Here is a 21,268-nt window from a genome sequence, read left to right as displayed (position 1 = left end):
AAAATGATAAAATAAACAGCTGTGTTACAGCAGTCCTAGAAACAGTTTGTATTATTAATTCTAAATCAGCCTAGAGAGTCATTGAGGTTGAATAAGAATGACAAATGTCAGTGCATCATGAAGAACAAATGAAAAGGGACAAATGCTATAGCAGACCTCAGGTGTGGGCTGCTTTGGGAGTGGCATTCTCATGTAGACATTCTTATTTGGATCATACGTAATCCACACATGAAGGCATAAAATATTTTGACAGCAAAATTCCAGTGTGCCAGCAAGTGTGCAATTTGAACCCCAGCAGCTTCTTAGGAACACGTATTAAGTTGGTGCAAAAGTGACCGCAGTTCCTGTCATTACTTTTAATAACAACTATCTCATAAAGGTGTTTTGAAGGTTAAATATTAAAGTGCCTGTAATAGTACCTGATACACAATGTACGTGGTTTTAATGGCAAAAACCACAATTACTTTTGCATCCACCTAAAGAGGGGGGATTCATTTGACAGTGAAACATTGAAGTAACTGTAGATTAAGTGACTTCTCTCAATTATTCAGTGGGAGATTCTTCCAGATAGCATTCAAATTAGAAATTATTTTATTTCTGTTCAAAGTCAGACACATTTATATAACAGCAGTGCAAACAGATATATTTGTAGAATTACATTTACTTATATATGCTTATATACAATATTATATGCATTTCATCATTATAATGTCATTCTGTTACATGTTAAAAGTTTTGAGTGGCGTGTGTATGCGTATGTGTGTGTGTATGTATCTTTTTTTGTACACTGTGAAAACTCACATACTCCAGGAGAGGGGATCACAGTTTAAGATCTTAATTAGCAACCACCCAAATTAGTAGTGCATCTTTCAGCTGAAGGGATGAGGGAGGGAACATTTAGGAGTAGGTTGAAGATAGACAACAAAGATAGGAAAAAATTTGGTTACATCTTTATCTAAGAACATTCCTGAAAGCGATAATATAGGTGAGAGAATACTAAGCAACTTGGTGAGCCCCAGGTAATCTTTCAACACACACTGACATTTTTTACTTCTCTTCAGTTACACCCTGCAGAAAGCACAATACGAACACTGGGTTGCCAGGAGTTGGTTTGCCTTGATCTTTGGGGTTGGGAGAACTGCAAAGAGTTGAAGTGGTTTAGACATTTTTAGAATTTTCTGGAATGCATTCTTCAGATCCTCATTGTAATAATGCCCCTGAGAAGATTTCCAGCATATAAACTCTACTCTAGACCAGAAGCTTTATTTAATAATTATAGATGTGTTTGTCTGAATATGGAATCATTTGTATCTTGCCTGGTTGCAATAAGCTGTTAATCATCTCCTCTCCCAGTAACATTAATAATGGTCGTACATTGTGTATTAGGTACTATTGTAGGTACTTTATATTTAACCTTCAAAACGCCTTTATGAGATACATGTTATTATTTTCATTTTACAAAAACATTGAGAATTTATGGAACAAGACAAGGATACCCACTCTAGCCACTCCTACTCAATACAGTTAACCAGGGAGATGAAAGATCTCCGTGAAAATAATTACAAAATACTGTTGAAAGAAATTAAAGATGACACAAAGAAGTGGAAAAATAGTCCATTGTGGGCAGCAAGCCACCCAGGTGCCAAGGCAAGAGACCGAGGACACAAGCTGTTCCAATATAATAAAGAAAATATATAAAATAAGAATAGTTATACTAGAAATAGATTATAGATAGATATGATGATATATGAACATTATTAATCATCAGTTTATAGCATTACCCTTTATTCCAATATTATAATAATCTTTTCTCTACAATTATAACCTAGGAAAAACCAGGCCATAAAGAGATAGGAGCTGAAGGGGCAAGGTGAGAAGTGACCAGAAGACGTGTGAGCCCTCTGTCATGCCCGAACAGGGCCGCTAGAGGGCTCCTTGGTATAGCGGTAACGCCAGTGCCTGGGAAGGCAACCGTTACTTAGCTGATCTTGGTCTAGCAGTAGCGTCAGTGCCTAGGGAAGGCACTCATTACTTAGCAGACCTCCCCAGGAGAGTTAGAGAAGACTCTGCTCCACCACCTCTTGTGGAAGGCTTGACGTCAGTCATGCCCACCCACAGCCATCTGGAGGCCTAACCGTCTCTCTGTGATGCTGTGCTTCAGCGGTCACACTCCTGTTTCACTTTCATGTTCCATTCTGTACACCTGGCTCCGCCCTCTAGATAGCAGTAGCAGAATTAGTGAAAGTATTTAAGTCTTCAATCTTTCTGAGAAGAGCATAGAAGAAATAATGACGTAGGCTGTCCTCTCTCTCTCAGCCTCAGCTACCTAAAAGGGAAAGGCCCCCTGTCTGGTGGACACATGACTCACGTGACCTTACCAATCATTGGAGATGACTCACACTCCTTACCCTGCCCCTTTGGCCTTGTATACAATAAATAGCAGTGCAGTCAGGCATTCGGGGCCACTACTGGTCTCCGTGTCTTGGTGGTAGTGGTCCCCCAGGCCCAGCTGTCTTTTCTTCTATCTCTTTGTCTTGTGTCTTTATTTCTACAATCTCTCATTTCCGCACAAGAGTAGAAAAACCCACAGACCCTGTAGGGCTGGTCCCTACAATCCATCCTCATGGATAGTAAGAATTAATATTGTTAAAATTGCCATACTGCCCAAAGAAATTTACAGATTCAATGCTATTCCTATCAAACTCCCAATGACTTTCTTCACAGAATTAGAGAAAATTATGCTAAAATTCATACAGGACCCAAAAAGAGCTTGAAGAGCCAAAGCATTCCTAAGAAAAAAAAACAAACCTAAAACATTACATTACCTGACTTCAAACCATGTTACAAGGCTACAGTAACTAAAATAGCATGATACTCATACATAAACAAACACATAAACCAATGGAACAAAAAAGGCCAGAAATAAAGCCACACAACTGCAACAATCTGATATTCAACAAAGTCAACAATAACAAGCAATGGATAAAGGATTCCCTATTCAATAAACGATGCTGGGATAACTGGCTAGCCATATGCAGAAGATTGAAACAGGACTACTTTCTTACACCATTTAAAAAATTAACTAAAGATATATGAAAGACTTTAATGTAAAATCTAAAATTACAAAAACCCTTGAAGAAAACCTGTGGTATACTATTCTGGACATAGGACCTGGCAAAGATTTCATGATGAAGATGCTAAAAACAATTGCAAAAAAAAAATTGACAAATAGGACATAATTAAACTAAACAGCTTCTGCACAGCAAAAAAAAAAAGTCATCAACAAAGTAAACAGACAACATACAGAATGGGAGAAAATACTTGCATAATATTCCTCTGACAAAAGTCTAATATGCAGAATCTATAAGGAACTTAAACAGATTAGCAAGCAAAAACCATGCAACCCCATTAAAAAGAGGACAAAGGAAATTAACAAACACTTCCCAAAAGAAGACACACACACACAGCCAACAAGCATGTGAAAAAAATGCCCAACATCACTAATTACTGGAGAAATGCAAATCAAAACCACAATGAGACACCATCTCACACCAGTAAGAATGGCTATTATTAAAGAGTCAAAAATAACAGATGCTGGCATGGTTTTGGAGAAAACGGAACGTTTGTACACTGCTGATGGGAATGTAAATTAGTCCAGTCATTGGGAAAAGCAATTTGGCAATTTCTCAAAGAACTTAAAAAAGAACTACCATTCAACCTGGCAATCCCATTATTGAATATATACCTAAAGGAATATAAATCGTTCTACCATAACAACACATGAACACGTATGTTCAACAAGATGATCTACCTGGCATTATGTTTACATATAATACTTGGTGTCACATACTGTTCCCAAATCAACGGCCTGGTAGAAAACAAAGTGTAACAAAATGGGATTGAAGCTGGCTGAATTTAGAGATGAGGTAGCCTTAGAAGTAAGTGTTAGAAAGTTTTCTTACAACCTGGGTTTTTGTGGGCCCACCTTCTTTTGTGGAGACAGTGAGGGAAATAGGTTTATTTCTTTCATTAAAACTGCACAGTCTATGAACATGTGAGAGCAATAACATTGGCTAACATCTATAGAGTACTCACTATGTATCAGCAGAGTCATCACATTGTCCAAATCTAAAAAGCATCATTCATGCTACATTCTATGTAAATGGCATCCCCTGAAATTGGGTTATTAATAGTACCGGGTGTCAGGCACTGTTCTAAACACTTTGCATATATTACCCCAATGTAATACTTATAACAACCCTAGGAGGTATGTACCATTATTATATCCACTGGACAGATGGAGGAACTGAGGTATAGAGAATATAAGTAACTAGGTCAAGGCTACATAGTAAGTGACAAAAAGTAGATTTAAATACAGCCTACTTAAATGTAGAGGCCATGATCATAACCACTACACAAACTGTCTCTACAAAGCTAGAAAAGAGTTTATGGATTTAGAAATGAAGAGATAGCAGTGGCTGGATGAAGAGCATCTGAATGAAGTTAGGAGGTAAAATGTATGCCAAAATTTTTTTTCACATTTGCTAAACCTGAGCCGCAAATTTGATTCTGAACTTTCGAGCTGTCAGTGCAGATGGAAACCCTATCAACTGTATGAGTTATAATATCTTAACAACAAATATTGTTACTAACATCAGATAACTAGTCTCTCATGAGATGTTTTCAAGAGGACATTGTGAGCAGTATCAACAAGACCTTGACAATAAATCCAGCAATTTGTTTCTTAAAGGCTGTTTCTAATAATTCCCCTTATTTTAATTCAATGCCTTAATGACAAAATGTCTGTAAAAGATATTATTGATCTATACTATGTCAAAATAAAGTTGCCCAGCAGTCCAGATTAACAATTCTCTGGTGACCTGGATTAAGCCAGAAATCGATTGTAAAGCATCCAAGGGGAAGTCCCCTTCAGGGACTTCACTATAAATATAAGCTTTTCAAATTAGATTTGGAAAGTGTTGAGCAGCAATAAATGCCAGGTTATTCTGTGTTAGAATCTGGCCTTTCTTTCCCTTCCTTCCTTCCTTCCTTCATTCCTACCTTCCTTCCTTCCTTCCTCTTTCTCTCTTTCTTTCTTTCTTTCTTTTCTTCTTTCTTTCTTTCATTTCTTTTTTCTTTCTCTCTCTTTTCCTGAAGGTCTCACTCTGTCACTCAGGCTGGAGTGCAGTGTAGCCATAGCTCACTAAAACTTCAAACATCTAGGCTCAAGTCATACTCCCACCTCAACATCCTGAGTAACTAAAACTACAGTTGCATGCCACCATCCCTGGCTATTTTTTATTTTATTTTATTTTGTTTTATTTCATTTTTGTAGAGACACAGTCTCACTATGGTTCCCTGGTTGGTCTTAAACTACTTGCCTCAGATTATGCCAAGATGGCTGACTAGACTCAGCAAGGTGGAACAACTGCCAGGGAGGGATCCAGACTACTAGCATACTTCTAACAAATCTTCAGAGGGAAGGCACCAAGATGGAGGGAAGTCGTAGAAGCTGGGCTGAACGGGCAGGAATATGGGAACTCTACACGGGGCTATTGTGCACCTGGACTCATTTCCTGCCCCCCCCATTGGATTCAGGGGAATAGGTGAGTTGAATTAGCAAGGAACAACGCATTCTCACCATTGGCCTCTGGAACTCCAGCAGGAGGAGATACTTCGACCACTATGGACACTCGAGTGGCAGAGATTGCTGCTTAGAGAAATGGTAGGGGCAGCATAGAGGCTGATGTGGAGCACAGAGAGATTAGTGTGAGAGCATCTCTAGCAGAGCACATCCAGAGACGGCCATGACCCTAGGCTTGACTTGTCCCCATAGGAGACTTTAGCCCTAGGGGAACTGTCAATCCTGAACTCTGCAGGGTGGTCTTACCCATCAGATGTGGCCAATCTGACCTGAGCACTACTTGGTCTGCTGGCCTCTACAGGGGTCGCTGGCTGGCCACAACTGCTTGTGGGGCAGTTTTGGGTGCCCTGAGGAATCACATAATAGCTTCTGTGCTGGTGGACTGTGCTTATCCAGTGAAGAGCTCCAGTAAGGTGGCCTCCATGGTCATGCACCAGCCTGCATGCTCCCTCCCACTCACTACAGCTTCCCCTAGACCCATGGCAACTACTCACATCACTTTTCAGGTCCATGTCTGCATAGGTGGATTTTGCTTTTTTTGCCCCGCCAGTGTGCTAGGGTGCATGCACCCTTCCCTGCTACTACTGTGGTGGGAGTGTAGACACCCCTTGTACCCCTGCTAACTGCCATTACAGATGGAGACTAGGCAGGAAAAGAGCCAACCAGCCCCACCTCCACCAGCACCCCACCCTTGCACTAACACTGCCTTGGAAGTGAAATAAGGTGCAGAGAACAGTAGATACTCCCCTATCCTGAGTGACCACTCCACTTTGTGACACACAGAGAAGGCATACAGACCTGGGCCTGCCAACACCGAGCCCCTGAGCGAAGGCCACCACCAGCGGGACTGCACAGTCATTAGCAGGGACCCCTCCATACTCCCACCCATGAGATGCATTGCCTCCACCACTGTGGCGAATGCCTGCATGGAAGCAAGCACCCAACCACCCGCTAGCACCCCGCAGCAGCTGATGAGTGTGCACCACACCATACTGCTGGCATGTATGAATAAGGATAGATCCCACTGTTCACAGTACTATGAAATGCTTTGGCTGACAAGACTCATCGAAGGGTAGTGACCAGGGGGTCTGGGAGCAACTTTATTTTCCTTAACCCAGTACAGTGGGTTTCTAACCTCAAGGAGCCAGGATAAAAAAAGTCAGGCCCAGTACAAGTCCCTCAGTGTTAGAGCACACAATCCAGGAGTTGGGAGCTGAGTGTTAGCCCCATAAAAGAATCCAGAAATGAAGCCAGTCAGCCGAATACAGCTTATACCAAAGTCAATACATCAAGGTCATTGAATAGAATAAAAGAAAGAAACAACCATCCAAAGGTCAGCAACTTCAAAGATTGAAGTAACATCAACCCACAAAGATGAGAAAAAAAATACAGCACATGGAGAGGATGTGGAGAAATAGGAACACTTTTACACTGTTGGTGGGACTGTAAACTAGTTCAACCATTGTGGAAGTCAGTGTGGCGATTCCTCAGCGATCTAGAACTAGAAATACCATTTGACCCAGCCATCCCATTACTGGGTATACATCCAAAGGACTATAAATCATGCTGCTATAAAGACACATGCACACATATGTTTATTGCGGCACTATTCACAATAGCAAAGACTTGGAACCAACCCAAATGTCCAACAATGATAGACTGGATTAAGAAAATGTGGCACATATACACCGTGGAATACTATGCAGCCATAAAAAATGATGAGTTCATGTCCTTTGTAGGGACATGGATGAAATTGGAAATCATCATTCTCAGTAAACTATTGCAAGGACAAAAAACCAAATACTGCATATTCTCACTCATAGGTGGGAATTGAACAATGAGAACACATGGACACAGGAAGGGGAACATCACACTCTGGGGACTGTTGTGGGGTGGGGGGAGCGGGGAGGGATAGCATTAGGAGATATACCTAATGCTAAATGATGAGTTAATGGGTGCAGCACACCAGCATGGCACATGTATACATATGTAACTAACCTGCACATTGTGCACATGTACCCTAAAACTTAAAGTATAATAATAATAAAATAAAATGAAATAAAAAAAGAAAAAAAATACAGCACAAAAACTTTGACAACTCAAAAAGCCAGAGTGCATTCTTTCCTCCAAACTACTACAGTACCTTTCTAGTGAGAGTTCTGAACAGGGCTGAGATGGCAGAAATGATAGAAATAGAACTCACAAATATGGAGAGTCACAGTGATAATTGAGATGCAGGAATTTCAGGAAGCCAAGAATCACACTGAAATAATACAGGAGCTGACAGATGAAAATAACCAGTATAGAAAAGAATATAACTGACCTGCTAGAGCTGAAAAACATACCACACAAATTTTATAATGCAATCGCAAGTATTATAGCAGAATAAGCCAAGCTTAAAGAAGAATCTCTGAGTTTGAAAACTGACTTTCTGAAATAAGACAGGCAGATAAGAATAGAGAAAAACAATAAAAAGGAGCAAACAAAACCTCTGAGAAATAAGGGATTATGTAAAGAGATAAAATCTATGACTCATTGGTGTTCCTGAAACAGATGAGGAGAGTGTAAATAACTTAAAAATTATATTTCTGGATATCATTTATGAGAACTTCCCCAACCAAGATAGAAAGGAGAGGCCTGCTGAATGTTTGGAAAATGCAGAGAACCTCAGCAAGATATTTCACAAAAAGATCATCCCCAAGACATATAATCATAAGATTCTCCAAGGTTGAAAGGAAAGAAAAAATGTTAAAGGCAGCTAGAAAGGAATATCATATCACCTACAAACAGGAGCCCATCAGACTAAGAGTGGACCTCCCAGCAGAAACCCTACAAGCCAGAAGAGATTGGGGACCAATATTCAGCATTCTTAAAGAAAAGACATTCCAACCCAGGATTTCATATATGGCCAAAGTAAGCTTTAAAAGTGAAGAAATAAGAGAAATAAGACCCTTTTAAAATAAGCAAATGCTGAGGGAATTTATTACCAGCAGACCTGCCTTACAAGAGCTCCTGAGAGAAGCACTAAATATGGAAAGAAAAGACCATGTCTGGCCAATACGAAAACACACTTAGGTACACACACCAGTGACACTATAAAGAAAATGCACAAACGAGTCTGCATAATAACCGGTAACATCATGAGAACAGTATCAAGTCCACACATTTCAATACTAACCTTGAATGTGAATGGACTCAAAGACTCAATTAAAAATCATAGAGTGTCAAGTTGAATAAACAACCAAGACCAGTGGTACACTGTCTTCAAGAGACCCATCTCATATGCAGTGACACACATAGGCTCAAAATAAAAAAAAAAATGGAGAAAAATCTACCAAGCAATGGAAAACAGAAAAGAAGGGGTTGCAATCCTAATTTCAGACAAACAGACTTACATCAACAAAGATCAAAAAGACAAAGAAGGGCATTACATAATGATAAAGGGTTTAATTCAACAAGAAAACCTAACTATCTTAAATATATGTGCACCCAACACAGAAGCACCCAGATTCATATAGCAAGTTATTAGGGACCATCGAAGAGACTTAGACTCCCACACAATAATGGTGGGAGAATTCAACACCACACTGACAGTATTAGACAGATCACTGAGGCAAAAAAATAACAATGATATTCAGGACCTAAGCTCAGCAAGGGATCAAATGGTCCTAATAGATATCCACAGAACTCTGCACCCCAAAACAACAGAATATACTTTCTTCTCAAGGCCACATGATACATACCATGAAGTCAATCACATACTCGGACATAAAGCACAACTCAGCAAATGCAAAAGAATTGAAATCATACAAACCACTCTCTTGAACCACAGCACATTTAAAAAGGAATTCAAGACTAAGAAAATAGTTCAAAACCCAATGAGAACACATGGACGCAGGGAGGGGAACATCACACACCGGGGCCTATTCAGGGGTGGGGGACTGGGGGAGGGATAGAGTTAGAAATATGTAATGTAAATGACCAGTTGATGAGTGCAGCAAAACAACATGATACATGTATACCTATGTAACAAGCCTGCACGTTGTGCACATGTACTCTAGAACTTGAAGTATAATAATAAAAAAAGTCAAAAAAAAAAAGAAAAATAGTTCAAAACCATAAAATTACATGGAAATTGAATAACCTGCTCCTGAATGACTTTAGGGTAAATAATGAAATGGAAGCAAAAAATTAAGACATTCTTTGAAATTAATAAGAAGAAAAATACAGCTTACCAAAAATTAGGAGACACGGCTAAGTCAGTGTTGACAGGAAAATTCATAGCACTAAATGCCCTCATCAAAAAGTTACAAAGATTGTAATTTAACAACCTAACATCACAATTAAAAGATCTAGAGAACCAAAAGAAAACTAACTCAAAAGCTAGCAGAAGACAAGAAAAGACCAAAATCAAACCTGAATTGAAGGAGATTGAGACATGAAAAACTATTCCAAAGATCATCAATTTCAGTAGCTGATATTTTGAAAAAACTATTATGATAAATAGATCACCAGCTAGAATAATAAAGTAGAAAAGAGAAAAAATCCAAATAAACACAGTTAGAAATGACAAAGAAGACATTATCACTGATGGCACAGAAATACAAACAACCATCAGAAAATCCATTATGAAAAAATCTATGCACATATACTAAAAAATCTAGAAGAAATGGATGAATTCCTGAACACACACACACCCTCCCAAGACTGAACAAGGAAGAAATTGAATCCCTGAATAAACCAATAATGAGCTCTGAAATTGAGTCAGTAATAAATAGCCTACCAACCAAGAAAATCAAAGGACCAGACAGTTGGGAAGGGGGAACTCCTCCCTAATTCACTATATGAGGCCAGCATCATCCTGATAACAAAACCTGAGAGAGATACAACAACAAAAACTTCACTCCAATATCCTTAATAAATATTGATGCAAAAATTCTCAACAAAATACAGATAAGCTGAATCCAGCAGCACTTCAAAAACTTATCTAGCACAATCAAGTACACTTTATCGTGTAATGCAAGATTGGTTCAACATACACAAATTAGTAAATGTGGTTCATCACATAAACAGAACTAAAGACAAAAACCACATGATTATCTTAATAAATGAAGAAAGGCTTCTGATAAAATTCAGCACTCCCCCATGTTAAAAACTCCCAATAAAATAGGTATTGACGGAATATACCTGAAAATAATAACAGTCATCAATGACAAGCCCACAGCCAACGACATACTGAATGAGCAAAAGCTGGAAGCATTGCCCTTGAAAACTGGCACAAGACAGGTACACCCTCTGTCACTGCTCCTATTTAATATATTACTGGAAGTCCTGGCCAGAACCATCAGGCAAGAGAAAGAAATAAAGGGCATCCAAATAGGAAGAGAGAAAGTAAACCTATCCCTGTTTGCAGACAACATGATTCTATATTTACAAAACCCCATGGTCCCTACCCAAAAGCTCCTCGAGGTGATAACTTCAGCAAAGTCTCAGGACACAAAATCAATGTACAAAAATTACTAGCATTTCTATACACAAACAGTCAAGCTGAGAGCCAAATAAAGAATGCAATCCCATTCACAATTGTACCCCACAACCAAAAAAAAACAAAAAAACAAAAAAAAACATAAAATACCTAGGAATACAGTTAATGAAGGTGAAAGAACTGTAAAATGGGAATTACCAAACTCTGCCCAAGGAAATCAGAGATGACACTAATGGGAAAATATTTCTTGCTCATTAATAGAAAGAATATAAATATTGTTAAAATTGCCATACTGTCCAAAGCAATTTATAGATTAAATGCTATTCCTATCAAACTATCAATAAATTGGAAAATCTAGAAGAAATTGGGCAAATTCCTAGACACTACAACCTACCAACATTGAACCAGAAAGAAATTCAAAATCTGAACAGACTAATAACAAGTAATGAGGTCAAAGCCATAATAAAACGTCTGTAAGTCAAAGCTTGGGACCTGTTGGCATCACTGCTGAATACTACCAAACATTTAAAGAAGAACTAATACTGATTCTACTCAAACTATTCTGAAAAATAGAGGAGGAGGGAATACTTCCAAACTCAATCTGCAAGGCCACTATTACCCTGATGCCCAAATAATAAAAAGACACACCACCAAAAAAAGAAAACTACAGGCCAATATCTCTGATGAATAGTGACATAAAAATCGTCAACAAAATACTAGCAAACCTTATTGAGCAATACATTAAAAACTTTATTCATCTTGACTAAATAGGATTTATCCTTGGGATGCAACAATGGTTCCACATACACAAATCAATCAATGTGATACATTCATCAAGAGAATGAACGACAAAGGCCGTATGATCATTTCAATTCATGCTGCAAAAGCATTTAATAAAATTTGACATTCCTTTATGATAAAAACAAAATTGTCAAAAAATTGGGTATAAAAGAAAGATACCTCAACACAATAAAAGCCATATGTAACAGACCCACAGCTAGTACCATGAACGGGGAAAAAACCTGGAAGACTTTCCTCTAAGATCTGCAACACTACAAGGATGCCCACTTTCACCACTGTTATTCAACATAGTACTGAAAGTCTTAGTTAGAGCAATTACACAAGAGAATGAAATAAAGAGCATCCAGATTGGAAAGGAAGAAGTCAAATTATCCTTTTATAAAGATGATATAATCTTATATTTTTAAAAACCTAAAGATTTCACAAAAAAACTATTAGAACTGATACACAAATTCAGTAAGGTTGCAGGATACAAAATCAAAACAGAAAAATTAGTAGCATTTCTATATGATAACAGTGAGGAAGGTGCAAAAGAAATAAAAAAGTAATCCCACTTATAAATCCACATGTAAAATTAAATACCTAGAAATTAACTTGACCAAAAAAGTGGAAGATCTCTGTAATAAAAACTATAGAATCCTTATGGGAAAAAAAATGGAAGAAGACACCAAAAAAATGAAAAGTATTTTGTATTCATGTATTGAAAGAATCAATATTATGAAAATGTCCATACTCCCCAAAGCAATCTACAAATTCAAAGCAATCCCTATCAAAATACCAATGGCATTCTTCACATAAGTAGAAAAAAAACTATTCTAAAATTTATATGAAACGAGAAAAGACTCAAAATATCCAAAGTTATCCTAAGCAAACAGAATAAAGCTGGAGGAATCACATTAGCTGACTTCAAATTACACTACAGAGCTATAATAATGAAAACAGCATGGTACTGGCTCAAAAACTGAAACATAGACAAATGGGACAGAATAGAAGACACAGAAACAAATCCACACACCTAGAGTGAACTCATTTTCAATGAAGGTGCCAAGTACATATGCTGAGGAAAAGACAGTCTTCTCAATAAATGATACTGGGTGGTACTGGTACCAAAACAGATATATAGACCAATGGAACAGAACAGAGTCCTCAGAAATAACACCACACATCTACAACCATCTAATCTTTGACAAACCTGACAAAAAAAAGAAATGGGGAAAGGATTCCCTATTTAATAAATGGTGCTGGGAAAACTGGCTAGCCATATGTAGAAAGCTGAAACTGGATCCCTTCCTTACAGCTTACACAAAAATTAATTCAAGATGGATTAAAGACTTACATGTTAGACCTAAAACCATAAAAACCCTATTAAAAAAACCAAGGCAATGCATTCAGAACATAGGCATGGGCAAGGACTTCATGACTAAAATACGAAAAGCAAGGGCATCAAAAGCCAAAATAGACAAATGGGATCTAATTAAACTAAAGAGCTTCTGCACAGCAAAAGAAACTGCCATCAGAGTGAACAGGCAACCTACAGAATGGGAGAACATTTTTGCCATCTACCCATCTGACAAAGGGCTAGTATCCAGAATCTACAAAGAACTTAAACAAATTTACAAGAAAAAAACAAACAACCTCATCAAAAAGTGAGCGAAGGATATGAACAAACACTTCTCAAAAGAAGACATTTATGCAGCCAAAAGACACATGAAAAAATGCTCATCATCACTGGTCATCGGAGAAATGCAAATCAAAACCACAATGAGATACCATCTCACACCAGTTAGAATGGCAATCATTAAAAAGTCAGGAAACAACAGATGCTGGAGAGGACGTGGAGAAATAGGAAGACTTTTACACTGTTGGTGGGAGTGTAAAGTAGTTCAACCATTGTGGAAGACAGTGTGGTGATTCCTCAAGGATCTAGAACTAGAAATACCATTTGACTCAGCCATCCCATTACTGGGTATATACCCAAAGGATTATAAATCATGCTATTATAAAGAAACATGCCACATTTATTGTGGCATTATCCACAATAGCAAAGACTTGGAACCAACCAAAAAGTCCGTCAATGGTAGAATGGATTAAGAAAATGTGGCACATATACACCATGGAATACTATGCAGCCATAAAAAGGATGAATTCATGTCCTTTGTAGGGACATGGATGAAGCTGGAAACCATCATTCTCAGCAAGCTATCGCAAGGACAGAAAACCAAACACTGCATGTTCTCACTCACAGGTGGGAATTGAACAATGAAAACACTTAGACACAGGGTGGGGAACATCACACACTGAGGCCTGTCATGGGGTATGGGGATGGGTGAGGGATAGCATTAGGAGAAATACCTAATGTAAATGATGAGCTGATGGGTGCAGCAAACCAACATGGCACATGTTTACCTATGTAACAAACCTGCATGTTGTGAACATGTATCCTAGAACTTGAAATATAATATAAAAAAAGATTGAAATTGTAATTGAAAAATAAACAAATAATAAAATAAATAATGATGCTGGGAAAACTAGATATCCATATGAAGAAGAATAACTAGACCCTTATCTCTCAGAATATACAAAAATCAAAACAAAATGAATAAAAGACAAATCTAAGACCTCATACTATGAAACTACTACAAGGAAACATTGGGGAAAATCTCCAGGACATTGGTCTTGGTAAAAAAACATTGTTGACCAATACCCCACAAGCGCAAGCAACCCAAGCAAACATGGACAAATGGGGTCACATAAAGTTAAAAAGCTTATTCACAGCAAAGTATACAATCAACGAAGTGAAGAGGCAATCCACCAAATGGGAGAAAATATTTGCAAACTACACATCTGACAAGGGGTTCATAACCACAATATATAAAGAGTTCAAACAACTGTGTAGAAAAAAATCTAATAATCTGATCAAAAAATGAGTCAATGATCTGCATAGACATTTCTCAAAAGAAGACATGCAAATGACAAACAAGCACACAAAAATGTACTCAACGTCATTGATCATCAGAGAAACGCAAATCCAAACAACAATGAGATATCATCTCACTTCAGTTAAAATGGCTTGGATCCAAATGACAGGCAATAACAAATGCTGGCAAGAATGTGGAGAAAACTGAACCCCTGTACACTGTTAGTGGGAATGTAAATTAGTACTATCACTATGGATAACAGTTTAGAGGTTCCTCAAAAAAAGAAAAAAAAACTAAAAATTCAGATACCACAGGGTCGATCTAGCAATCCCACTGCATGGTATATACCCAAAATAAAGGAAATTAGTGTATTGAAGAGATATCTGCACTCCTATGTTTGTTGCAGCACTGTTTACAATAACTAATATTTGGAAGAAACCTAACTGTCCATTAACAGACAAATGGATAAAGAAAATGTGGTTCATATACACAAAGGAGTAGTATTCAGCCATAAAAAAGATTCAATTATTTGCAACAACATAAATGGAACTGGAAATCATTATGTTAATTACATTAAGCCAGGCACAGAAAGATAAACATTGCATGTTCTCACTTGTTTGTGGGATCCAAAAATCAAAATAATTGAACTCATGGACATAGCGAGTAGAAGAATGGTTACCAGAGGCTGGAAAGCGTAGTAGAGATCTGGGGGTAGGAGGGGATGCTTAATGGGTATAAAAATAGTTAGAAAGAGTGAATAAGACCTACTATTTGATAGCACAATAGGGTGACTACAGTTAATAACTTCACTTTTATTAAAACTTAAAATTTGTAATTTGGTTTTTTTGCAACTCAATGGATAAATGCTTGAGGGAATGAATACCCACCCTATGCTTCATGATGTGCTTATTTCACATTGCTTGCCTGTATCAAAACATTGCATGTACTCCAAAAAATGTACACCTATTATGTACCCACAAACTTAAAAAAAATTTAAAAAGAGCTTTTTGTGAGCTGCTATGATCCAGCTCCAGCACAATATTAGGTAGATTCCATTATTTTCATTTTACAAATTAAGGAATCAAGAACCAGATTAGTCAAGAAATTTGACCCGGAACCTAGGTCACACAGCTAGTAAGTGGCAGAACTCAGATTTTAACCCAGAAATTCTGACGCCAGAGGCTATTATCTTAATCGCCTGCTTCTTCTGATAGGTTAAGTGATACTTGGATGAGAGTTTTTTCTTTGGCTTTTATTCGTGACGGTGGAGCCTAGCAAACTCTGTGGCCTCCTTTTTTCAGGAAGAATCTATCAAATACTGGATGGGCTACAGATGCAATATCTGGATAATTTCAGATATCCTCTCTGTCCCAAGTGAATGATTTGCTGACACCAAGCTTCTGTCAAGGTTAAAATAATACTGTATAGGAATGTACTGCCACTTTAAACATCAATGTATTTATCTGTAAAATGTAGAAAATAAGGCTAAGCCCAGAAGAACCTTGCTTTTGAAGGGTGTATTTTTGAAGGCCCACTAAATGCCAGGTACTTTTTGCAATTTATTTAAGTGCCAGGTAATTTTGCACATTTTCTTTAGAGAAGCAAAACTAATATCCCAATTTAAAGGTTAGACAAATAAAAATCTGGCTTACTATCAATCAATTAGCAAAATGCAAGAACCAGGTTTCAAACTTAGGTCTATTTAACTCCAAGGCTCATGTTCTAGGCCAATAACAAGTTCTGAAATTGAATCAATAATAAAAAGCCTACAAATCAGGGAATGCCTAGAACCAGATGGATTTACAGCTAAGTTTTGCCAGATGTATGAGGAAGAACTAGTACCATTCCTACAGAAACTATTCAAAAAAATTTAGGAGAAGGGACCCCTTTCTAACTAATTATATGAGGCCAGAATCATACTGATACTAAAATCTGGCAGAGTCACACACAAAAGTAAACTTTAGGCCAATATCCTTAATGAACATCATTGCAAAAATGCTCAACAAAATACTGGCAAACCGAACCCAGCAGCACATCAAAAGCTTATCCACTATGATCAAGGAGGGTTTATCTCTCGGATGCAAGGTTTGTTCAACATGCACAAATCAATAAATGGGATTCACCACATAAACAGAACTAAAAACAAAAATCACACCATCATCCCAATAGATGTAGAAAAGGCCTTTGATAAAAAAATTTAATTTTTTTTAAAGGGCTAATATCCAGAATCTACAATGAACTCAAACAAATTTACAAGAAAAAAACAAACAACCCCATCAAAAAGTGAGCAAAGGATATGAACAGACACTTCTCAAAAGAAGACATTTATGCAGCCAAAAGACACATGAAAAAATGCTCATCATCACTGGCCATCAGAGAAATGCAAATCAAAACCACAATGAGATACCATCTCACACCAGTTAGAATGGCAATCATTAAAAAGTCAGGAAACAACAGGTGCTGGAGAGGATGTGGAGAAATAGGAACACTTTTACACTGTTGGTGGGACTGTAAACTAGTTCAACCATTGTGGAAGTCAGTGTGGCGATTCCACAGGGATCTAGAACTAGAAATCCCATTTGACCCAGCCATCCCATTACTGGGTATACACCCAAAGGAATATAAATCATGCTGCTATAAAGACACATGCACACGTATGTTTATTATGGCACTATTCACAATAGCAAAGACTTGAAACCAATCCAAAAGTCCGACAATGATAGACTGGATTAAGAAAATGTGGCACATATACACCATGGAATACTATGCAGCCATAAAAAATGATGAGTTCATGTCCTTTGTAGGGACATGGATGAAGCTGGAAACCATCAATCTCAGCAAACTATCGCAAGGACAAAAACCAAACATCGCATGTTCTCACTCATAGGAGGGAATTGAACAATGAGAACACATGGACACAGGAAGGGGAACATCACACTCTGGGAACTATTGTGGGGTTGGGGGAGGGGGGTGGGATAGCATTAGGAGATATACTTAATGCTAAATGACGAGTTAATGGGTGCAGCACACCAGCATGGCACATGTATACATATGTAGCTAACCTGCACATTGTGCACATGTACCCTAAATCTTAAAGTATAATAATAATAAAAAAAAACTACCAAGATTGAATCACGAAGAAATCTAAAACCTTAACTGATTAGTAACAAGTAATGAGATTGAAGCTTTAACAAAAATTCTCCCAGCAAAGAAAACGGGGACCCCATGGCTTCACTGCTGAATTCTACCAAACATTTAAAGAACTAATACCAAATCTACTCAAACTATTCCAAAAAATAGAGGAGGAGGGAAACTGCCAAATCCATTTTACAAGGCCAGTAATACCTTGATACCAAAACCAGGCAAACACACATCAGTAAAAGAGTATGTACAGGCCAATATACCTGATGAACAGTGATACAAATTTCTTCAGCTAAATACTAGCAAACTAAATTTAACAATACTTTTACAAACTTGTTTATCATGACCAAGTGGGATTTATCCCAGGAATGCAAGCATGGTTCAGTGCATGCAAGTTAATCAATGTGATACATCGTATCAACATAATGAAGTGAAATAACCATATATTTACACATTTGAGGATGAAAAAACATTTGATATATTTCAGCATCCCTTCATGATGAAAACACTTAAAAAACTGGGTATAGAAGAAACATACCTCAACACAATAAAAGCCATATTTGACAGATACACAGCTAATACTATACTGAATGGATAAAAACTGAAAGCCATTCTTTTAAGATCTGGAACATGACAAAGATATTCAATCTCACCATTGTTATTCTGCATACTAGTGAAATTTCTAGCTAGAGCAGTCAGACAAGAGGAAGAAATAAAAGGCATTCTAATTGGAAAGAAAGAAGTCACGTTATCCTTATTTGCAGATGCTATGATCTTATATATGAAAAAACCTAAAGTCTCCACAAAATAAGTAGTAGAACTGATAAAGAAATTTGATAAAATTAAAGGATACAAAGTCAACATACAAAAAGTCAGTAACATTTCTATATGCCAACAGCAAATGATCTGAAAAAGAAATCAAGAAAGTAATCACATTTACAATAGCTACAAATAAAATAAAATATCTAAGAATTAACTTAACCAAAGAAGTGAAAAATCTCTACAATGAAAACTATAAAATTTTGATGACAGAAATTAAAGAGGACACAGAAAATCAAAAGATATTCCATGTTCATGAATTGGAATAATCAGTATTGCTAAAATTTCAATATTCCCCAAAGAAATCTACAGATTCAATGCAATCCTGATTAAAATACTAATGACATTCTTCACAGAAATAGAAAAAAATCCTAAAATTTACGTAATACCAAAAAAGACCGAGAAGAGACAAAACTATCTTGAGTAAAAGAACAAAATACAAAGAATCACATTACCTGACATCAAATTATACTACAAAACAAAATGGCAGGGTACTGGCATAAAAACAGACACATAGACAAATGGAACAGAATAGAGAACCTGAAATAACAAATCCATTCATATAGAGCAAATTCATTTTTGACAAAGGTGCCAAGAACATACAATGGGGAAAGGATAGTCTCTTAAATAATAATCCATCAATAAAGGATAGTCTCCGGGAAAAATTGGATATCCATACTCAGAAGAATGAAACTTCACTCCTATTTTTTGCCATATACAAAAATCAAATCAAAATGAATTAAAGACTTAAATCTAAGACCTCAAACTATGAAACTACTAAGAGAAATCTTTTGGAAAACTCTCCAGGATGTTAGACTGAACCAGGATTTCTCGGGTAGTATCCCATAACCAGAGAGATACAAAACAAAAATGGACAAATGGGATCACATCTAGTTAAAAAGCTTCTACCTAGCAAAGGAAACAATCAACAAAGTGAAGAGAGAACCCACAGAATGGGACAAAATATTTACAGACTACCTATCTGACAAAGAATTAATAACCAGAACATATAAGGAGCTCAAACAACTCTATAGGAAAAACTCTAATAATTCAATTTAAAAATGGGCAAAATATCTGAATAGACATTTTTCAAATAAAGACATACAAAGACAAACAGGTATATGAAAAGGTGGTCAACATCATTGATCATCAGAGAAATGCAAATGAAAACTACAATGAGGTATCATCTCATCCCAGTTAAAATTGTTTATATCCAAATATCAGGCAATAAAATATTCTGATGTGCATGTGGAGAAAAGGGAACTCTCGTACACTGTTGGTGGGAAAGTAAATTAGTACAATCACTATGCAGACAGTTTGGAGGTTTCTCAAAAAACTAAAAATAGAACTACCATATGACCCAGCAATATCGCTTCTACATATATACCCAAAAGAAAGAAAATCACTATATTGAAGAAATATCTGCACTCCCATGCTTATTGCAGCACTATTCACAATGGCTCAAAATTGGAAGCAACATAATTGACCATTAACAGACAAATAGATAAAGAAAGTGTGGCATTTATACACAATAGAGTGTTATTCAGCCATGAAAAGGAATCAGATCCTGTCATTTGCAACAACATGAATGGAAATAAAGGTCATTATGTTAAGTGAAATAAGCCAACCACAGAAAGACAAATTTCACATGGTCTCCCTTATTTGTGGGATCTAAAAATCAAAACAATTGAACTCATGGAGATAGAGAGTAGAATGATGTTCATCAGAAGCTGCGAAGGGTAGTAGGGTGTGAGGAAGTGGGGATGGTTAATGGACAGAAGAAAAAGTTTGGTGAAATAAATAAGATCTAGTATTTGATACCACAACAAGGTGACTATATTTAATACTAATTTACAGTACATTTAAAAATAAATAAAAGTGTATAGTTGAATTATTTGTAACACAAAGAAAGGATAAATGCTTGAGGTAATGCATACCCCATTTACCCTGATACGATTATTATGCATTTTATGCCTGTATTAAAATATCTCATGTACCAATAAATATATACACCTACATTGCATCTACAAAAATTAAAAATAAAAATTAATTTTAAAACACTTTGCCCATTTTATGTGTTTTATTATGTTAAATTTTGAGTTCTTTATATATTCTGGTTAAAAATCCTCTATTTATATATGTTATTTTAAAGACTTCTTCTAGTGTTTTAATTCCCTTAAATTTATTTTGCCAAAGAAAAATTTTAAATTTGGATAAAGCCCAACTTTTTTTTATATATCATGGATCATGCTTTCTGTTCTACGTTCAAGGCCTCTGCTCAATATAAAGATAGAAATACTGCCTTCTATGTTTTTTCCCAAAAAATTATAGTTTTACATTTTATATTTAAATATCTTATCCATTTTACCTCAATTTTCTGTGTGACTTACATGATTTGGATTAGAATAAATTCATGCTTTTATTTACTTAGTATATAGATGTCCAAGTATTTCAATACTA

The 21,268-nt window shown here is 36.7% G+C and overlaps 1 annotated feature.

Annotated features, from left to right (window-relative positions):
- Positions 2,010-2,359: an enhancer, noted in NCBI's record as "active region_29794". NCBI's record gives its function as "activates an Ori minimal core promoter by ATAC-STARR-seq in GM12878 lymphoblastoid cells {active_cell/tissue: GM12878}" and the evidence as "EXISTENCE:reporter gene assay evidence [ECO:0000049][PMID:35858748]".

The sequence above is a fragment of the Homo sapiens genome, chromosome X (genome assembly GCF_000001405.40).
Source record: "Homo sapiens chromosome X, GRCh38.p14 Primary Assembly".
Taxonomy (NCBI): domain Eukaryota; kingdom Metazoa; phylum Chordata; class Mammalia; order Primates; family Hominidae; genus Homo; species Homo sapiens.
Note: the sequence above shows the minus strand (reverse complement) of the source record. Positions and strands in the feature narration are given on the sequence as shown.